Here is a 20,368-nt window from a genome sequence, read left to right as displayed (position 1 = left end):
ATACACCTCCCTTCTCCCACACACAGACAAACGCACATGTATACATGGACATTCACAGATATAGTGATACTATTGTCAATTATTTTCCATTCTAGATTACTTACAGAAAACCGATTTCACTTCACAGAAGACAAACTGTTTCTAATAAGTACTCTTTAATACAGCTATTTAAAATTTCTGAGGCCTACTCATAGAGTGTGTGGATTAAAAAGGAAAATATTTTTAAAATACTGACATATTAAATTTAATCCCTAAACATTTAAGCATGTTAAAAAGCATTATAAAATTATACATTTGTAAGTAGCTGAGTGATGAGCAAAACAAAAAGTTCTGACTTTCCCCCACCCCCAAGCGTAATCCACAATGCACTTCATTCTTCAGCTCATCTGTGACAGTCTTGTGGCTCTTTCTACCTCCTGACATCACTGACCCTTGCACATTCCCTACAATCACTTCATTCCTGACCGTTTATTTACTTTAGGATTATATAAACCTGGGAGAGAGAAATAAGAGGGAATTGAATGAAGGTACATTTCTGCCTATTATTTCTTCTTCAAAAAGGATACTATAATGTGAAGGCACTTGTAGAGTGGTGCTCAAGCTAGAGATCTGAGTTTAAACACAGCTTTATGAAGAAGTTGATGTAGTAAATGAGATTTTAACTCTATTTTGGCAACTTGTTTACTTAATTACTCTTCTTCCATAGACAATTTTTTCAAAGATTTTTTGAATTTGATTTTTCTCTCCCATAATCCCACCATACCACTCAAATCTACCTGCGCTTATAGCATCAACTGACCAGTTACTGAGTTTACCACCATTATGATAATGAAATATAGAAAACTCACTTCATAATTTATAAAAGTGCCAACTCTAAAAATTCTGAAAACCCTTTTCTTTGTTTTTCTTAACAAAATGCAAGGATAATTTGAGATACCTTCTTTCACTTGTCTCTTGAATATTATTGTTCTCCAGGATTGTTTATCATCTTTTGCCTCAGCCGCTTTGTTTAATCCTATGCCTTATTGGCAATCATGTTGTGAATATTCTTTCTCCTAAATTACCTGCCTCCTTTGCCTCAGAAGCCTAACTGGGTGTGTGCATTTGTGTATGAGATGGTAAATGTGACTGAGAACATGTGTTTTGGAGTCAGGTCAATACATGCACCACTGCTTATTGATTGTGTGAGCTTGGGCAAGTCCTTAATCTTTCTGTGCTTCAGTTTTCTCATTTTATTTTTTATTTTTTACTCTTTTTATTCTTATTTCTTTGGACACTATGGTGACTTAAGTTTTCTCATTTTTAAAATGGGGCCATGACTATGTACCTCACAGGATCATTGTCATAATCAAGACAGTGTACTAAAGAAGGACCGGTGTCTCCCAATAGTAGGAGCATAATCGATAAAGTCAGTCACTACTCCCTTAAAAAATATGAATAAATCTGCTGTCTCTTCTCTAGTACTCTCAGTTTTATTTTAAAATTTACCATTTTTTTCCCTTTTCTAGTATCCTTGCTAAAATGTTCATCATTCACACTGCTGGTAGCATTTCTGAAACACACATTTTCACTCCTATAATTTTAGTCCAATCTGTGGTAGGTAAAATTTGTTGCTTACTTTCTAGAGCACAGGCATAAATTATGAGAACTTTTGTATCTGTTAATTTTATCTCTTCTATTTCTAATTTTCCTCTTTGTATATGTTTTGAAAGTACAATGTATAATTTATACAAATAAAAAGCTGCTTATTGTGGAGGTCATACTTCTTAAAGAAGTGAAACATGAAAAATATCAGGTATGTAGAATCAACTACAAGCTTATTAAAGGCTTCCACAGTTCATAATATTGTCTATTGAGTGCAAATAGAAATAAATTACATCCATCATCTCCAATCTCTACTCAACTATCTTTAATTGAATGCCTATTATATGCCAACTATTATAATGAGCATGTTCTATTCAAATTATTTTTTGGCTTATATAAAACTTATTTGTTTAAACTTATTACCTTGTTTTTTTAAAAGATGTAATTTAAGATGACAGCTGTTTGTGAAAGAAGAAATATTGTTCATGTTTTCTTAACTACTGAATTTAAGTTGGACTTTATTTGTTAGAATAACCTAACTACAAAGCTACTATAAAAGTGATACAGTTCATACAGTTCTGAAATTACACATATTTTCCTGTGAATATTTTTCTGGTAACGTAACCTGTCAAGTGATGTTATGGTTGTAATTATGTGAAATGCTGTCAATGGCTCCATCGTAGTTCTGGGTTTCTGGACTTCTTGGCCCAAGAATTTATAAGATATTAATAGTAATATCACCTGGGATAAAATTACTTCCTGATTTTAATCAATATGTGTGTTTAGAATTGAGGAGAATGCCATTTGGCTTGCTATTTTGACAGGGTTTGAAGAATGTCTTTATAAATGAAAAACTGAGACACATAACATCATACCTTTGGGGTCAAAATTACATCACCTTTTTCAAATTTATAATGTTTATATTACTCTAGTTCCCAATAAAATCCAAAGCATTTTGTATTCAGCATGTATAGATATACATTGACTTAATAGATGTTTTTGTGTTAGTGTTTTTTTTCCTTTGCTGCTATTTTCATTTATTTAAATTTTCACAAGGTGGAAATGCAATGCATCAAGCCACTTTCTCTTTGAAAACATAAATGCACAATAATTAGAGACCCAGCGTGCTCTAAGAACCATGGGATTAGCCCCACAATAATGTGGGCTCACATCTGCAGTCAGTCTAAAAATGTCACATAGGCCTAATTTTGCTTCAATGCAAATGTAATTTGTTTCCTCGCATTTACATGTGGAAATAAATTTGTGACTGTGTTTAACTCATTTGCTATTTAATCTTTAGTGTATCCTTTTCAACTAAGCTGCTGGGAAAATAATACACCTGTGCAGGTTGCTACTACTGTAAATTTGTGATTTACAGGTACAAAAGTATTTCAATATTGCCTAGTGATTCATATCTTTCTCTAAAACCTCACTTTCTCTCTTGTGATTTCTGAACACTTGTGCTAGAAAATCACTCAGATAGACCTTAAACTGAGCGTATGCACAAGTGAATCAGACTTCTCCCCTCTTCCTTGCCGTCTTACTGCTCCAACTGGTCTTCCTGGATTTTCTTCTCTTTCTTTAGGCCAACAGCCTTGGAGATGTAGTAATTCTACCATTTCAATATTTATGGACTTCACGAGTGTTATATTTGTATTGCCTCTGTACTAATTAGTCTTCATTATTGTTTCACTACATTAGTGTTGTTTTCTCCTCCACAAGTGTCTCAATTCTTTTAATTGCACTCACCAATATGTTCCTCACCTTGAAACTAGACTAATGCTATTAAATTATAGTGAGTTCTCAATGTAGTTGACAGGTTCTTCAAAATTGTGACTTTAAGCAAAACGACACAACATGTTGGTCCTCAACATCTTTTCCTTCTCTGTCTTTTCATTAAAACATTGAAGAGAGAACAAAATTGATTTTGTCATATGTTGTTTTGCTTGAAGTCGCAGTTTCCAAGAACCTATGGACAAAGTTAAGTGAGGATTTATTTATTTATTTATTTTGTTAATCATCCATGTGAAATCTTCAAGAGGCTCTTCATTGCTCTCGAATAAAATATGAGCTCCTTTACTGAGAATGGCTGCTCCTTCTTGATATAATCTCTTCCTAAATGGAGTGCTTATCTTTAATTGTAATTCCTTTTCCCTCTTTGATGAGAAAGCTCCACTTCTCTTACTTCCTTAAAGGCATCCAGTGTCACATTCACCTCAAAATCTTTAGATGTAGATGCTCTCTCCTGGAACATTTTTCCTTTGGCAATTTTCCCAGGTGATTCCGTTTTATCATTTTAGCTTAGATTTTGTTTCCTGGATTGGACTAAATGTCCTTGCTACATGTCTCAGACTGTTAGACTATTTTGTTGATAGCAATTTGATGATGTTCCTTGTCTAATGATCTGTCTCCTTCATTGAGTTCTTAATTCCTTCCATTGATACCCTATTCCAACTGATTATTGATGAATCCTGGTACTGAGCATATTGCCTTGCACATAGATTGAGCTCAAATTTACTTGTTTGAATTATTTTTTAAACCTTTAGCAAGATTGATAATTTAAATCTATAAAATTAACAAGGTGATTAATATATTTGAAATTGACATGATTATGTAGAACATTGAATTATGTAGAAGTTGTATTTTATCTTTCTATATGCATATTTGTGTTATTTGTCACATGAATTTATATTTCATAGATTTATAATATGTAGAACTGAAATTGCAAAGAGGTAATTTATAATTCAAATTTGATTTCTGCCTGATCTAAAATACCCATTAAAATGTTAGACTTACCATAAAGATTTGATATGAATTAACAAATAAATTATATAATGGCATACCATAATGTATTTTAACAACATTTAATTGATCTTTATAGTACAGTAGAAAATGCCGATATTTTGAATCTGACAAACCTGAATTTTAATCCAACATATACCACTTACCTGCTGGATGAAATTGTACAATAACAAAAATAAAAGCTACTATTTATTGAGTGACTCATATATGTTTACGTAGTCATTCCATCTTCAATACTACCTTGTTAATTAGGTGTACTTCTCCCTGGTGTACCTATTTGAAAGTGGAGAGAATTAAATCTCAGGTTGCCTAAGGACATTAAACAAATGAATAACATAACTGAGATCCAAAGAACACGTTTTTTTCACTAACATCATTTACCTTTCCTCTCAAAATTTGAGTTTAATTGTGAGGATTGCAGTTTATTTGTTAATCAAGTAGTAGAGTGATTTGTACAGAGAAAACCTTCAATAATTGGTAGTTACCTTTTAAAAAAAAATAGGTCAATATATTAAACTCAGAAATCCTTTATGTTTTCTTGCCCTCTGGAACAACAGAATTGATGGGCTGACCCCTCCTTTCAGTTACTACCATTTAACTTATATTTATTTTTACTTTATTTACTTATATTTATAATCTTTTCATTACTGCTTTTTGACTTTCTTTTCCCTCTTTATCTGGCACCTTCCACCATTCCTACAGAAGACTCATTCTAGGTTAGTCATTTGCACAACAGAATTTTCATATATATGGGAGTTCCCATCCTCTGGATTATCATAAAAGGAACATGATTATCACTATGAGTTATTTTAAGGCTTATTTTTATATAAAATATTACATGAAAAATATGTTTAAATGGTGTTTACTCTTCTACGTTTTAAAGGTGTTTTTTGAAAACTAATCAGAAGAGGAATGCTTATCTCCCAAGAAAATTGAAACCATCTGTAAAAGAATCTTGGCTGTGCTGTGTTTTGATTAGATTGAAGCTTGGTGTAAAGAGAAAACACAAAAGACCGCAGTAAGTTGCTGGCTTAATTATGTCATGAAACCAGAACTTTTCAGAATCAGGTGACTATATAAAGCTTGACCAGATCAACATATCTTGATCATGTTTTTCTTGGCCTTCTTTCCCAAAGAAGGTCCCCAGCTGCTGGTGACACTATCTTTGCAGTGTAGGCTCTTATGAAATCCACAAAAAGAGCTAGCATTTTCTATATTATTAATTTAGGGAAAACTTCACTAACAATATATGTTTTTTTCTGTTTAAAGGAATATTTACAACATTTGAATTCCTGTTTCTCCATCAAAGCACATTGTCATCAAAGCTACTTTGGGTATAGAAAAAAGGTCAATTCCAATTCCCAGGAATCCTTAACCACAACTTTACTTGGAAATTTCCGGTAATACTTAAAACACCATTTTGCAGCAATTCTTTATGATAAACTGTAAAATACAGCTACCCGAAAATGACTGACAAATCAATCGTCATTCTGAGCCTGATGGTTTTTCACAGCTCTTTCATAAATGGAAAAACATGTAGACGGCAATTGGTGGAAGAATGGCATCCACAACCCTCATCATATGTGGTAAATTGGACACTAACAGAAAACATCTGCTTGGACTTCTACAGAGATTGCTGGTTTTTGGGTGTAAACACTAAAATAGATACTTCAGGCAATCAAGCTGTTCCCCAGATTTGCCCTTTGCAAATTCAATTAGGAGATATCCTTGTAATTTCTTCTGAACCATCTCTTCAATTTCCAGAAATAAATTTGATGAATGTTTCTGAAACATCTTTCGTTGGCTGTGTGCAAAATACCACAACGGAAGATCAGTTACTTTTTGGCTGCAGACTAAAAGGAATGCACACTGTTAATTCTAAGTGGCTGAGTGTTGGGACACATTATTTTATCACAGTTATGGCAAGTGGTCCATCACCTTGTCCACTGGGACTTCGACTAAATGTGACAGTGAAACAGCAGTTCTGCCAGGAATCTCTGAGTTCAGAATTTTGCTCTGGTCATGGTAAATGTCTTAGTGAAGCTTGGAGCAAGACATATAGCTGCCATTGCCAGCCTCCATTTTCTGGAAAATACTGCCAGGAACTTGATGCATGTTCTTTTAAACCATGTAAAAATAATGGCAGTTGCATTAATAAAAGAGAAAATTGGGATGAGCAAGCATATGAATGTGTCTGTCACCCACCATTTACAGGTAAGATTGTTTAAAATATATAATTTTATTAAAATAGAGAAACACAGTGCATTTATAAACTGTTAACAGAAATCAAAGTACATTTTAAATGCGGTGGCTCACACCTGTAATCCCAGCACTTTGGGAGGCCGAGGTGGGTGGATCACGAGGTCAGGAGAGCGAGACCATCCTGGCTAACACGGTGAAACCCCGTCTCTACTAAAAATACAAAAAAAAAATTAGCCGAGCATGGTGGAGGGCGCCTGTAGTCCCAGCTACTCCGGAGGCTGAGGCAGGAGAATGGGGTGAACCCGGGAGGTGGAGCTTGCAGTGAGCCGACATAGCGCCACTGCAGTCCGGCCTGGGCAAAAGAGCGAGACTCCGTCTCAAAAAAGATAAAAATAAAAATAAAATAAAATAAATAAATAAAAATAAATAAAAAATTTAATAGATTCCTTGGATTTGGCTGGATATAGATTCTGGACATATACAAATCCTATCAGGGATCCTCCAAAATAAGCTTTTTGCTTAACTGAAGGAGGGCTCTTAGAAACATGTTTAATAGTGAAATATCTATATTTACATCTTTCCCAACATCCATTCTTAACGTCTCATACATTAAAACATAAGATTATCAGAATAATATAAAAGCTTTTAGTCACTGAATGAATTCCCAAGATTATGGTATTTAGATAGGTGATAACTTGAAAATAAATTATGCATCTCAGTAGAGGAAGTTAGGGAACTATGGTTGAAGGGAAGTGATTGAAGCTGCTTGGCAGGATTGGAGAGGAACAGATAATTGTGAGCCAAGAGCAATGTTTTAAATGGATGTTGGTGTGGCATCCAAATGGTGATTTATAACTGATAGTGACAAGGATGGAAAGAAGATGTTATAATTAATAACGGTTGTAATAAGCTCAATAAAAGGCAATAATCAGAAAAGGTTGTAAAAAGATGTTTGGTGAGTAATTAAGCCAGAGGAAAGGCAATCTAAAAAAAAATGTAAATGATGCTGCCTGAGGCTAACGTGAAGTTTGAAGGGAATAAAACTCTCTCTACTTGAGAATATACTAGAGGATTCTGGGGTCATCGGAGGAAAGTGAGGAGAAAGACTGAAAAAATGTAGGGAACATTTAAAGCTTGGAAACTTGTGGAAGAATTTATTTGAGGGTTTGACAGACCTGGCATGGAGAGTTACAAGTGAAATAAGACCACGATGATCTAACAAAGAGAAATATTTGACACAGCTGATAATAATAGTATACGAAAACAGCAGATTGGTATGTATTTTGGTCATAAAAGAGGAAGGAAGGTTAAAGCAGAGCTATATCTAGAGCAGATCACCTGCAGGGATTTAACTGTAATTTTGTTAGGCAGGCTTTAGGGGGATTCCTTCTCCCCTGTGCCTGAGGCTGACTCCATTGGAGCCAAGTTTAAAGAGGCTGTGTGATAACATGTAATGGGAGCCGACTTGGAGGCGGCTCATGCCTATAATCCCAGCACTTTGGGAGGCCGAGGCAGGCGGATCACCTGAGGTAAGGAGTTCAAGACCAGCCTGGCCAACATGGTGAAACCCCGTCTCTACAAAAATACAAAAATTAGCTGGGCATAATGGCGGGTGCCTGTAATCCCAGCTACTCGGGAGGCTGAGGCGGAAGAATCCCTTGAACCAGGAGGTAGAGTTTGTAGTGAGCTGAGATCGCGCCATTGCACTCCAGCCTGGGCGATGAAGGGAGACTGTCTCAAAAAATAAAATAAGATAAAATAAAAAGATGTAATAGAAGACCTCAATAAGCCATTGTAGGCTGTAAAATTCACCTCATCCAATCTTTCAAATAGTCATTTTGAACTTGATAGCTTAGTACCAAGATTATTATAGAAGTTAATACCAATAATAGCCACTGAATATATTGTCTCTATAACGTGGATCAAATTCTCATTTGACTGTGTTGGCATTGGTGATAGAAGGTGCAAGTTATACCTCTTCTTTCCGCTGGGGTATATCAGGTGATTAAAGTTAAGGCAGACTAGAGGAAATGTGAAAACACTCAAACTGCTGATTTGGAGTGAATGATAAAGCAATTTAATAGACAGTCTTTAAAGCATCCATTTTCACCTGTCCAAAGAGTTTTAAAGAACATTTGGCCAGAAAATTTCTACCATGTGTCAGAATATTAATTTGCGTGTATGCATTCATAGTTTATGGGATATTATTTTAGTGGTTTTATTATAACTGCATAGAATGGTTTGCTTCCTACTCAATTTCCTTCCTTCCTTCCTTCCTTCTTTCCTTCTTTGCTTCCTTCCTTCCTTTCTCTCTTTCTTTCTTTCTCTTTGTTTGTTTGTTTCTTTCTTTCTTCTTTCTTTCTCTCTCTTTCTCTTTCTTACAGCCATAGGTGCTTTAAATCGTTAAGCTTTGAGCACTATAAAATACCTAAATAATGCTTACTTATTTTTATAACATTAAGAATACTCCATTTGCCACTTTAATTATAAATAATTACTTCAATTTTAAAAATCGAAGAAGATAATGAAATATGTAGAATTGTCAAAACAATTGAGAATGCTTACTGCATTAATTTGCTAGAGCTGTCATAACAAAGTACCATAGACTGGATGGCTTAAACAGAAACTTATTTTCTCACAGTTTTAGATGCCAAAAGTCAAAGATTGGCAGATATGGTTTCTTCTGAGATCTATTTGCTTGGTCCATAGACTGCTGTCTTCTCCCTGTGTCTTTACATTGTCATTTCTCTGTATGTATCTGTGTGTAAATGTTCTCCTCTTGAAAGCACACCAGTCACATTGGATTAGGACGCACCCTACTGACCTTATTTAACCTTAATTGCGTACTTCTCTAAAGATATTATCTCCAAATATAGATACTCTGTGATGCTGAGGGATAGGACTTCAACATATGAATTTGGCGGCGGTGGGTGGGCACAATTTAGCTCATAAAACTCACTAAGTTTTAATTAGGGTGTGGCCTATTGGCATTATACTGTTAATTTAATTTTTATGTTTGGAGAACCTTTTGAAACACAATGATTTTTATTTATATTTTCATTATTTATATTTTCATTACATTTAGGGTTGCTTGGAGGCAAATGAAGAAAAAAGTTCTGCATTAGTGAGGCAGGGATGTCAGTATATAAGGAATTTGAAAGACATCAATGATAATGGCAAAAACTGCTCATAAATTAAATTAAGAGCTTAATTAAACTGGGGAAAAAAACATATTGCCAAATTACATGCAGTTGGTTTGTAACAGCATTTGTCCACTTGCTATGCCCTGGGATTTTCAAGGCACATTCCTCTACTAAGGTATTATAAGATGATTAAATATGCATAGAATGAGTATGTTATGGAAGGCTGTGTGTGTGTGTGTGTGTGTGTGTGTGTGTGTGTGTATATAACTGATATAGTGGGACCACAATAGTATGTGTAAGTGAGATTTGGAAAATTTGATATGCCAGCAAGTGCAAAGAAGTGTTGAATTTGGAAGTTTGTGCACATATTCTGAGAATCCAGGCAGCCATTTCTGCTTTTGAATTGTTCCCTTGGCTAGGGGGTAAGTCTGAGAAACAGTACACATTTGAATGTGTCATTTTGTAAATTATCACTGCAATACTATCAATGTATGTTGAAAAACTGGTACTTAAATATATGAATATTATCTATCATGAAAATACAATTAAAATTTTAAAATATTATGTAAATTAAATAAAGCTCAAATACTACAAGCCAGAAAAAATATTTGGATATTATAGTCTGGGGTCAGAAGATGAAAAACTTATGTAAAGTATCAAAATTAATTTTTATTTCAATTTAAATGCATCATCGTATAACATGGTTTCATAACTGAAATTACATTAGTCAGAATTTGATATTTTCATTATTAAAGAATTGAGGGAAAACTGATGGTTATAATATTGATATCCAATGTAAAAAAAACTTTTTTTCATTGTTATAGGAAAGAATTGCTCAGAAATAATTGGCCAGTGTCAACCACATGTCTGTTTCCATGGAAACTGCAGCAATATTACTTCAAATAGTTTCATTTGTGAATGTGATGAGCAATTTTCAGGTAAAAAATGCATATGTATACAACCATATACACAAGTAACTTTAATTTTATCTATGTATTTCAAATTAAATGTGAAATATTTCCTTTATTATTGAAAAATACAATTTCAGAAGGTATATATACTGAACTCTTTTATGGTAAAGTTTAATAAATCAATTTGGTTAATACAATTAAATCATATTACTGCTAAATGTTTTATAGCATAAGAAGAGTCTGAACAACAGTTCACATGCTTTTCACCATAAAATTACTTACATCTTTCTTCAGACTTGCATTTATGACCAATGAATTTGAAATTGTTCATGTGTTTATTTGACACTTCTTAACCATTACATTTTAAATTATGGACATTTTCACTGAACACATGTTGAGGTTTCTGTTAATTTCTTTAAAAAAAGTCTGCTAAAGGAAGATATTATTACATCTTTTTTTGATATAAAATATGCAGATGAAATATATATTTTTAAATTACACTTTAAGTTCTGGGTTACATGTGAAGGATGGGCAATTTTGTTACATAGGTATGCCATGTGCCATGGTGGTTTGCTCACCCATCAACCCGTCACCTATATTAGGTATTTCTCCTAATGCTATGCCTCCTCTAGCCGCCAACCCCCAACAGGCCCCAATGTGTAATGTTCCCCTTCCTGTGTCCATGTGTTCTCATTGTTGAACCCCCATTTATGACTGAGAACTTCCAGCGTTTGGTTTACTGATCTTGCGATAGTTTGCTGAGAATGATGGTTTCCAGCTTCATCCATGTCCCTACAAAGGACATGAAATCATCCTTTTTTTTTATGGCTGCATAGCATTCCATGGTGTATATGTGCCACATTTTCTTTATCCAGTCTATCATTGATGGACATTTGGGTTAGTTCCAAGTCTTTGCTATTGTGAATTGTGCTGCAGTAAACATATGTGTGCATGTGTCTTTATCGTAGAATGATTATAATCCTTTGGGTATATGCCCAGCAATGGGATTGCTGGGTCAAATGGTATTTCTAGTTCTAGATCCTTGAGGAATCACCATACTGTCTTCCACAATGGTTGGACTAATTTACACTCCCACCAACAGTGTAAAAGCATTCCTATTTTTCCACAACCTCTCTAGCATCTGTTGTTTCCTGACTTTTTAATGATCACCATTCTAAATGGCATAAGATGGTATCTCATTGTGGCTTTGATTTGCATTTCTCTAATGACCAGTGATGATGAGCATTTTTTCACATATCTGTTGGCTGCATAAAGATATTCTTTTGCAAAGTGTCTGTTCATATCCTTCGCCCATTTTTTGATGGGGTTGCTTGCTTTCTTCTTGTAAATTTGTAAGTTCTTTGTAGATTCTGGTTATTAACCCTTTGTCAGATGGATAGATTGCAAAATTTTTCTCCCATTCTGTAGGTTGCCTGTTCACTCTGATGACAATTTCTTTTGCTGTGTGGAAGCTCTTTAGTTTAGTTAGATCCCATTTGTCAATTTTGGCTTTTGTTGCCATTGCTTTTGGTGTTTCAGACATGAAGTCTTTGCCCATGCCTATGTCCTGAATGGTATTCCCCAGGTTTTCCTCTAGGATTTTTATGATTCCAGGTCTTATGTTTAAGTCTTTGATCCATCTTGAGTTGATTTTTGTATAAGGAGTAAGGAAGGGGTCCAGTTTTAGTTTTCAGCATATGGCTAGCCAGTTTTCCCAACACCATTTCTTAAATAGAGAATCTTTTCCCCATTGCTTGTGTGTGTCAGGTTTGTTGAAGACCAGATGATGGTAGATGTGTGGTGTTATTTCTGAGGTCTCCATTCTGTTCCATTGGTCTATATATCTGTTTTGGTACCAGTACCATGCTGTTTTGGTTACTGTAGCCTTGTAGTAAAATTTGAAGTTAGGTAGCATGATACCTCCAGCTTTGTTCTTCTTGCCCAGGATTGTCTTGGCTATGTGGGCTCTTTTTTGGTTCCATATGAAGTTTATAGTAGATTTTTCCAATTCTGTGAAGAAAGTCAGTGGTAGCTTGATGGGGATAACATTTAATCTATAAATTACTTTGGACAGTAAGGCCATTTTCAAGATATTGATTCTTCCTATCCATGAACATGGAATGTTTTTCCATTTGTTTGTGTCCTCTCTTATTTCCTTGAGCAGTGGTTTATAGTTTTCCTTGAAGACGTCCTTCACAAAATGAAGGCAGAAATAAAGATGTTTTTTGAAACCAATGAGAACAAAGACACAACGTACCAGAATCTCTGGGACACATTGAAAGCAGTGTGTAGAGGGAAATTTATAGCCCTAAATGCCCACAAGAGAAAGGAGGAGAGATCTAAAATCGACATCCTAACATCACAATTAAAAGAACTAGAGAAGCAAGAGCAAACACATTCAAAAGCTAGCAGAAGACAAGAAATAACTAAGATCAGAGCAGAACTGAAGGAGATAGAGACATAAAAAACTTTGAAAAAATCAATGAATCCAGGAGCTGGTTTTTTGAAAAGATCAACAAAATAGATATACCACTAGCCAGACTACTAAAGAAGAAAAGAGAGAAGAATTAAATAGATGAAATAAAAAATGATAAAGGGGATATCACCATCGATCTCACAGAAATACAAACTACCATCAGAGAATAGTATAAACACCTCTATGCAAATAAACTAGAAAATATAGAAGAAATGGATAAATTCCTGGACACATACACCCTCCCAAGACTAAACCAGGAAGAATTTGAATCTCTGAATAGACCAGTAACAGGTTCTGAAATTGAGGCAATAATTAATAGCCTACCAGCCAAAAAAAGTCCAGGTCCCGATGGATTCACAGCCAAATTCTACCATAAGTACAAAAATGAGCTGGTACCATTCCTTCTGAAACTATTCCGATCAATAGAAAAAGAGAGAATCCTCCCTAACTCATTTTATGAGGCCAGCATCATCCTGATACCAAAGCCTGGCAGAGACAAAACAAAAAAATAGAATTTTAGGTCAATATCCCTGATGAACATTGACGCAAAAATCCTCAGTAAAATACTGGCAAGGAGAATCCAGCAGCACATCAGAAAGCTTGTCTACCAAGATCAAGTCGGCTTCATACCTGAGATGCAATGCCAGTTAAACATACGCAAATCAACAAATGTCATCCATTGCATAAACAGAACCAACAACAAAAAGCACATGATTATCTCAATAGATGCAGAAAAGGCCTTCGACAAAATTCAACAGCCTTTCATGCTAAAAACTCTCAATAAACTAGGTATCGATGGAATGTATGTCAACATAATAAGAGCTATTTATGACAAACCCACAGCCGGTATCATACTGAATGGGCAAAAACTGGAAGCATTCCCTTTGAAAACTGGCAGAAGACAAGGATGTCCTCTCTCACCACTCGTATTCAACATAGTGTTGGAAGTTCTGGCCAGGGCAATCAGGCAAGAGAAGGAAATAAAGGTTTTCAAATAGGAAGAGAGGAAGTCAAATTGTCTATTTTTGCAGATGACATGATTGTATATCTAGAAAACCCCATTGTCTGAGCCCAAAATCTCCTTAAGCTGATAAGGAACTTCAGCAAAGTCTCAGGATACAAAATCATTGTTGAAAAATCACAAGCATTCCTATATACCAATAACAGACAAACAGAGAGCCAAATCATGAGTGAACTCCCATTCACAATTGCTACAAAGAGAATAAAATACCTAGGAAAGAACTTACAAGGGATGTGAAGGACCTCTTCAAGGATAAAATATTTTTGTAGGAGTTCTATATTTTACTTATTCAAAATCAGTTTGTTAGATAACATTTTCCAAGATATTCATGAAGTAAATGATTTCTATTTATTATTCTTTAGAACGTTTGGCTAAATTTAGATACTGCAAAGTTGTTGACTCTCTCAATTTATTTCCATTATGCTCTAGTATGTAAGTTTATCCTTGAAATTTAGGAGCCCCCTCAAATGCTTCCCACAAGCCCAGCTATTCCAAAGCACTGTTATAATATTTAAAATCTTAGATACTTTTGAAGTCTTATTAAATTTGCTAAGTGTCTTTCTTGAATCATGGAGGAATAAACTTCAATGCTTTATCTAAAAAATGCAACTTACTGTAATGTTCAAAAACTGATTTCTTTGGTACTTAAATTTTTTTAGCTGTTTAATCAAATTTTTGAAACTGATTTTGAGCAAGATGCAGCTAGAGCATTCTGTTACCAAAATGTCAAAGCTTCCCTGCACCCTTAGATTCATTTTCAAAGTCATTCTTTAGAGACTTAAACATTTCTAAACTTTGAATGTTGATGAAAAGAAGCAAGAAAAAAAGCACATTATGCCATGTTACAATTTTTTCAATAATAGTTTTGTCACAACAAATTAGTTCCATTACTCTATAAGTATTTAAAATTATTTGTGAATTTTGCAACTACAGTTTTTATTTTAGTTGTGTGAATATCATGACTGATTTGAAACAAAATATGAACTATGTGTGAACCACAATACATTTCCTATATTTTCTGCTCCACATTTTTCTATATTTGATCAAAACAATGTATTATGCCACATACTTAACAAAATGTGTATTTAAAATTTCACCACAGGAACCAATAACTTTATTTTTGAATATTGTTTGCTAAATTCACAAATTCCCAATGGCACTACCAATATTGTCAGATGTCCTGCCTTTGACAGAATAAACTTGCAAAACTTTATTTTAATTTAATGAATTGGAGGGAAAAAGAAAACCATTGTTGGAATTAACTGATTATCAGTTTGAAGTTTCTGCTTTTATTAATATGGCTCACATTTTTTTTTTTGTTTGAGGCAGTCTCACTGTTTCACCCAGGTTGGAGTGCAGTGGTGAATCTCGGCTCACTGCAACCTCCGCCTCCAAAGCTCCAGTGAGTTGCCTGTCTTACGCTCCCAAGTAGCTTGAATTATAGGTGCATGCCACCACAGCCGGCTAAGTTTTGTATTTTTAGTAGTGACGGGATTTCGCCATGTTGGCCAGGCTGGTCCCAAACTTTTGTCCTCCAGCGATCCACTTGCCTTGGCCTCCCAAAGTGCTGGAATTACAGGAGTGAGCCACCACGCACAGCCAAAGCTGGCATTTTTTAACTGTAAGTGAAGTTGTCTACTAGCTGAGCTGACACTTTGACAACTATCACTTTACTTTTTGTATGCACAGAGGAACTTGCAATAAAAAATGAGAAAAATAATTTTGGGACAGTCATTTGATCTAAATGAAAAGACGTGCTTCACAGAGTGATATGTAAGAAGACCTTCTGCTTATGCACCTAGCTCATCATCAGAAGACAGTCTTCTAAAATATTTACTAACATTTTTAAAAGTAGATGCTGATGATTGCTCAATTAATGTATGCATTCTGGTTTGTATACAGTCAGTAATGTCACTAATATCCTACAGTGGATCATTAATAGTGGCACAGTTTAGGGGCAACTACATATTCATCATTGATTTTCTAGGGAAACAAATTTGAAACATAGTTTTATTAAAAAGTAAGTATTTATTGTAGAATAAGAAATGTTCATCAGTGCATAGTAAAATATGTAAATAGTTGTAGATTTATACCAAGGGCTGGCAAATTTTTCTGTAAAGAGTTAGATAGTAAATATTTTAGACTTCTTGATCCATATGGTCTCTATCACAATGATTCAACTCTGCTATTGCAGCATGAAAGCAGCCATAGACAAACATAAATGTGTGGATTTCACTATATCAATAAAACTTTGTTTACAAAAATAGGTGGAAGGCCTTATTCAGCTCACAGCTATAGTTTACTGACCACTGTTTTGTACCACACAATAATTGACCAAACCTCTATAGCAAGAACATACAGACAAATATCTATAAACCCTATGACAAAACTAGTAGCCTCAATTTTCCTCTCACATATAACATAGACATAACTCATAATTTCCTGTCGTTCCTACTGACCAAGCTCACTGGCAGCCTGGAAACATTGTGCTGGAAGAGTAGCATTATTAGTAGCTTCTCTGCATACCAACTGAAATAAGGAGGAATTACCTACTTTTGTCTGCTTGGGTCTTCAAAGTCCAACAAGCTGTCTTTGAATGATTGATACAATAAAATCTGCATCTGGAAAGCATTGAAAAAGAGAGGTGTGTTATTACTGGTTATATTACCATATTATCCTCATGTTAAAAATAATTTTCTGCTTATGTATAACTCTATATCTCACACTTCTGGAAAAGATGATGGCAGAATATAAAATACCAAGTGGTGATTTATCAAACTCATCCCTATTTGTTTTAGTGCAACCATAAATAATAGTACTTGGTTAAAACATCCAGGACAAATGGCATTTTAATATTTGGAGAGAACTGAGATACTTCAGCAATATTCTGTCTTCTACCCCATGAGCATAAACTGGTGCTATCTTGAGCAAACTAGAATGATTACCCTATAAAGGTTTGGTAACTATAATAGGGTTTTTTTTTTTTGAAATATTTTGAGATGTACAGCCTGTGCCAAATGTGTACAGGAAGCATCACATTTAAAAGATGTATAAAATATGTCTATATCTATCCATCGGATATGGCTTGACTGTGTCCCCACCCAAATCTCATCTTGAATTCCCACGTGTTGTGGGAGGGAGCCGGTAGGAAGTAATTGAATCATGGGGGCACATCTTTCCCATGCTGTTCTCATGATAGTGAATAAGTCTCACGAGAGCCGATGGTTTTAAAAAAAGGAGTTCCTCTGCACAAGCTCTCTGTCTTTGCTTGCTGCCATCCATGTAAGATGTGACTTGCTCCTCCTTGCCTTCCACCAGGATTGTGAGGCTTCCCCAGCCACGTGGAACTGTAGGTCCGTTAAACTTCTTTCTTTTGCAAATTGCCCATTCTCAGGTATGTCTTAATCAGCAGCATGAAAATGAACTAATACACCATCTATCTCTTTATTTGATACATATTTTCTAATATTTTATTATGGGTTTCTTCAAAACTCTTCAGAAACCAATATATGTACATTTTTCTACCATGATCAACTGTGCATATTAATATATATTATTTGAAATATGAGTCTGGATTCATAATCAATATTATGTTCTAATGAGCCATAGTAAAACCATAGAAAATTAATATTCCTAATGCCGTATCAACCAGTGATTATTATAAAATTAGCCATTATGTCAAGTTCTCATTGCTCTTGAATTTCCTTCCAAACAGAATTTTGGAATTCATATCATTTGGAATATTATAATTGTCATACCTAAAGCAGTTTAATAACTGACATTTAATGCAAATTTACATTAAGGCTGCAAATAAATATGGTGTAGAGCATGCCAATCATATTTCAAAACTTAAGAGCCCTTAGAAAAACAAATTCTTGATTTTTCAGATATTTCACATATTGTGAAATAGAGTACAAATAAGAATCATTAGCCATAAGGTCAAACTTCAATTTCAAACATTATAAAAGTAAAATTAAGAATTAAAATATAATATAAAACCACATGAAAATGTATTCTTAATTGTAATCCCAAATTTGAAATGTTATGTAAGATTTATGCATCCATTAGAAAGTGATTTATTCAAATTTTATAACTATAAGATTTATTGCTAAATTTTTAAATGTGTATTTTTGATTAATGCCAGGAAATGTTAAAATTATTATGCTATACATTATTAGTTAATGACACATTTTCAAGTGTGAATTTGATGTAGAAACAGGTGATTGTCAGAAAATAAACTGTTTTTAGTTTCACTAAATTAAAGCTACCATAAACATTTAGTTTCAAGATAGGAAAGTTTATTTGTAAGGATGCTGGGATGTTTGAATCCAAGATGAGTGATGTTAAAAAGGTTTTGCAATGGCATTCAATGATGGTAACTTCAGCTACCATTTTGGACAGATAACAAGAGATCCAATCTGACTAGTAGAGAATAGTGTAAGACATTTAGTTAGCAGTTTAGATCAGAGGGTAGACAGAATATTTTCCAATGTAAAGTACATATTTCTCCATTTGAGTAATCCTCACCAGTGGGTAGAATTTGTGAAGAATAGAATTTTGCTCATGGAAAGAAAAGCAGGCAGGAGCTAAATCAGATATAACTTTCTTCATTTTTAATAATTGAACTTTAATCCTATTTTGAGACTCAATTCTGATAGAGTTTGGAAAATTAATCTCTGTCAATTTAACCCTATCTCTAACCCCCTGCCATGCAGAGAATTGAACTAGTCCTTGCTCTCATAAGTGGAATTTTAAAAAATAATGGAGTCACATGAGCTGATAAGCACACATGTATAGTCAATGTTAAAGCTTAGTATTTATAAAATTTGGAATGATAATTTATGGCAAATGTTTAACACATTTAATAATGTAAATAATTTTTAAGGCATTGAATAGGCAGGTGTTTATATAAGCTTATTCTAGGTTGCTATTAGTTTTACATTGTCAAACTTTATTTTGTAGCATTTTTTCTTCTTGTTTCTCTAGTCACTATGATAATTATTAGCATTGATGGTGACTGTTATTTCCAAACACAGCATAATCCACAATAACACAACATTTAAAAGCAAAGGCTCTGTATCAATTACTAACATGAAAAATTTCCTTTGCTACCGTATTCCATCCAGATAAAGAACTGAGTCTTCCTCTGAATCTTCCAATTAATTTCTTCCATTGTGATGAATCCTCCATAGATTTATTGGCAAAACATTATTTCCAAGTGTTCTCCACCCTACTATAAATTGTCTCAAAATTGGACTGGGCGCAGTGGCTCACGCCTGTAATCCCAGCAGTTTGGGAGGCCGAGGCGGATGGATCATGAGGTAAGGAGATCGAGACCATCCTGGCTAACACAGTGAAATCCCATCTCTCCTAAAAAAATAAAAAATAAAAAATAAAAATACAAAAAATTAGCCGAGCGTGGTGGCGGGCACCTGTAGTCCCAGCTACTCAGGAGGCTGAGGCAGGAGAATGGCGTGAACCCGGGAGGCGGAGCTTGCAGTGAGCCGAGATCGCGCCACTGCACTTCAGCCTGGGCAACAGAGCGAGACTCCGTCTCAAAACAAAACAAACAAAACAAACAACAAACAAAAAATTGTCTCAAAATAGTTTGTGTCTGCCAACAAGGTAGTGTATACTATACTTAATAAATAGTAATTATTGATAATTATGAGATCTCAGGATGCTAATGAAACTTTATTGCTTGTATTGAGAAATGAGAGTGTAAATTGATTATAAAATGAAAAGAGCTGAATGCTTAATAAAGCATAAATTTAGCTAAAATTATTAAACAGATATACATATATGCCAATTTGAATGTCTTTTTATTGTTGTTCAATGTATAGAATACTTATTTTTTCCTTTTGCTTTTTTTGGTTGACACTTAATAATTATATTTATAAGATACAGAGTGATATTTTGATATATCTGTACAATATGTAAGGATCAAATCAGAGTAATTAACTTATCCATCACTTCAAGCATTTATCATTTCTTTGTGTTGTGAACATTCAGAATACTCCCTTCTAGCTTTTTGAAAATATATAATAAATTACGGTTAACCACATTCACCTTACAATGTTGTAGAACACCATAAACCATTCCTTCTATCTAGCTATAATTTTGTATCCAGTAACCAAACTGTCCCTATCCTCCTTCTCCCTACCCTTCCCAGCATCTAATACTCACAATTCTACTCACTACTTCCATGAGCTCAAATTTTATTTAGTTC

General features: G+C 34.3%; 1 protein-coding gene across 4 annotated transcripts in view, besides 2 other annotated features; it reads left to right on the top strand.

The window, feature by feature from the left end:
* Positions 1 to 20,368, top strand: part of EYS (eyes shut homolog) — a 1,987,247-nt gene that overhangs the window by 205,964 nt on the left and 1,760,915 nt on the right. For all 4 annotated transcript variants that reach the window (NM_001142800.2, NM_001292009.2, NM_001142801.2 and 1 more), the window contains 3 exons: positions 5,270 to 5,404; positions 5,656 to 6,600; positions 10,556 to 10,669. In NM_001142800.2, the coding sequence (NP_001136272.1) occupies positions 5,853 to 6,600; positions 10,556 to 10,669 (862 nt within the window). In that variant the 5' untranslated portion in view covers positions 5,270 to 5,404; positions 5,656 to 5,852. The remainder of the gene's footprint in view (positions 1 to 5,269; positions 5,405 to 5,655; positions 6,601 to 10,555; positions 10,670 to 20,368) is intronic.
* Positions 17,180 to 17,349: an enhancer, noted in NCBI's record as "experimental_92954 CRE fragment used in MPRA reporter constructs". NCBI's record gives its function as "activates a minimal promoter by MPRAs in K562 erythroleukemia cells, with activity observed for the non-introgressed 6:66193892 or rs12664444 variant allele {active_cell/tissue: K562}" and the evidence as "EXISTENCE:reporter gene assay evidence [ECO:0000049][PMID:34662402]".
* Position 17,264: a transcriptional cis regulatory region, noted in NCBI's record as "Neanderthal adaptively introgressed variant 6:66193892 (GRCh37/hg19 assembly coordinates) or rs12664444 in the experimental_92954 CRE". NCBI's record gives its function as "modulates activity of the experimental_92954 enhancer by MPRAs in K562 erythroleukemia cells {active_cell/tissue: K562}" and the evidence as "EXISTENCE:reporter gene assay evidence [ECO:0000049][PMID:34662402]".

This window comes from Homo sapiens, chromosome 6 (genome assembly GCF_000001405.40).
Source record: "Homo sapiens chromosome 6, GRCh38.p14 Primary Assembly".
NCBI lineage: Eukaryota > Metazoa > Chordata > Mammalia > Primates > Hominidae > Homo > Homo sapiens.
This window is presented reverse-complemented; position numbering and strand designations above follow the sequence as displayed.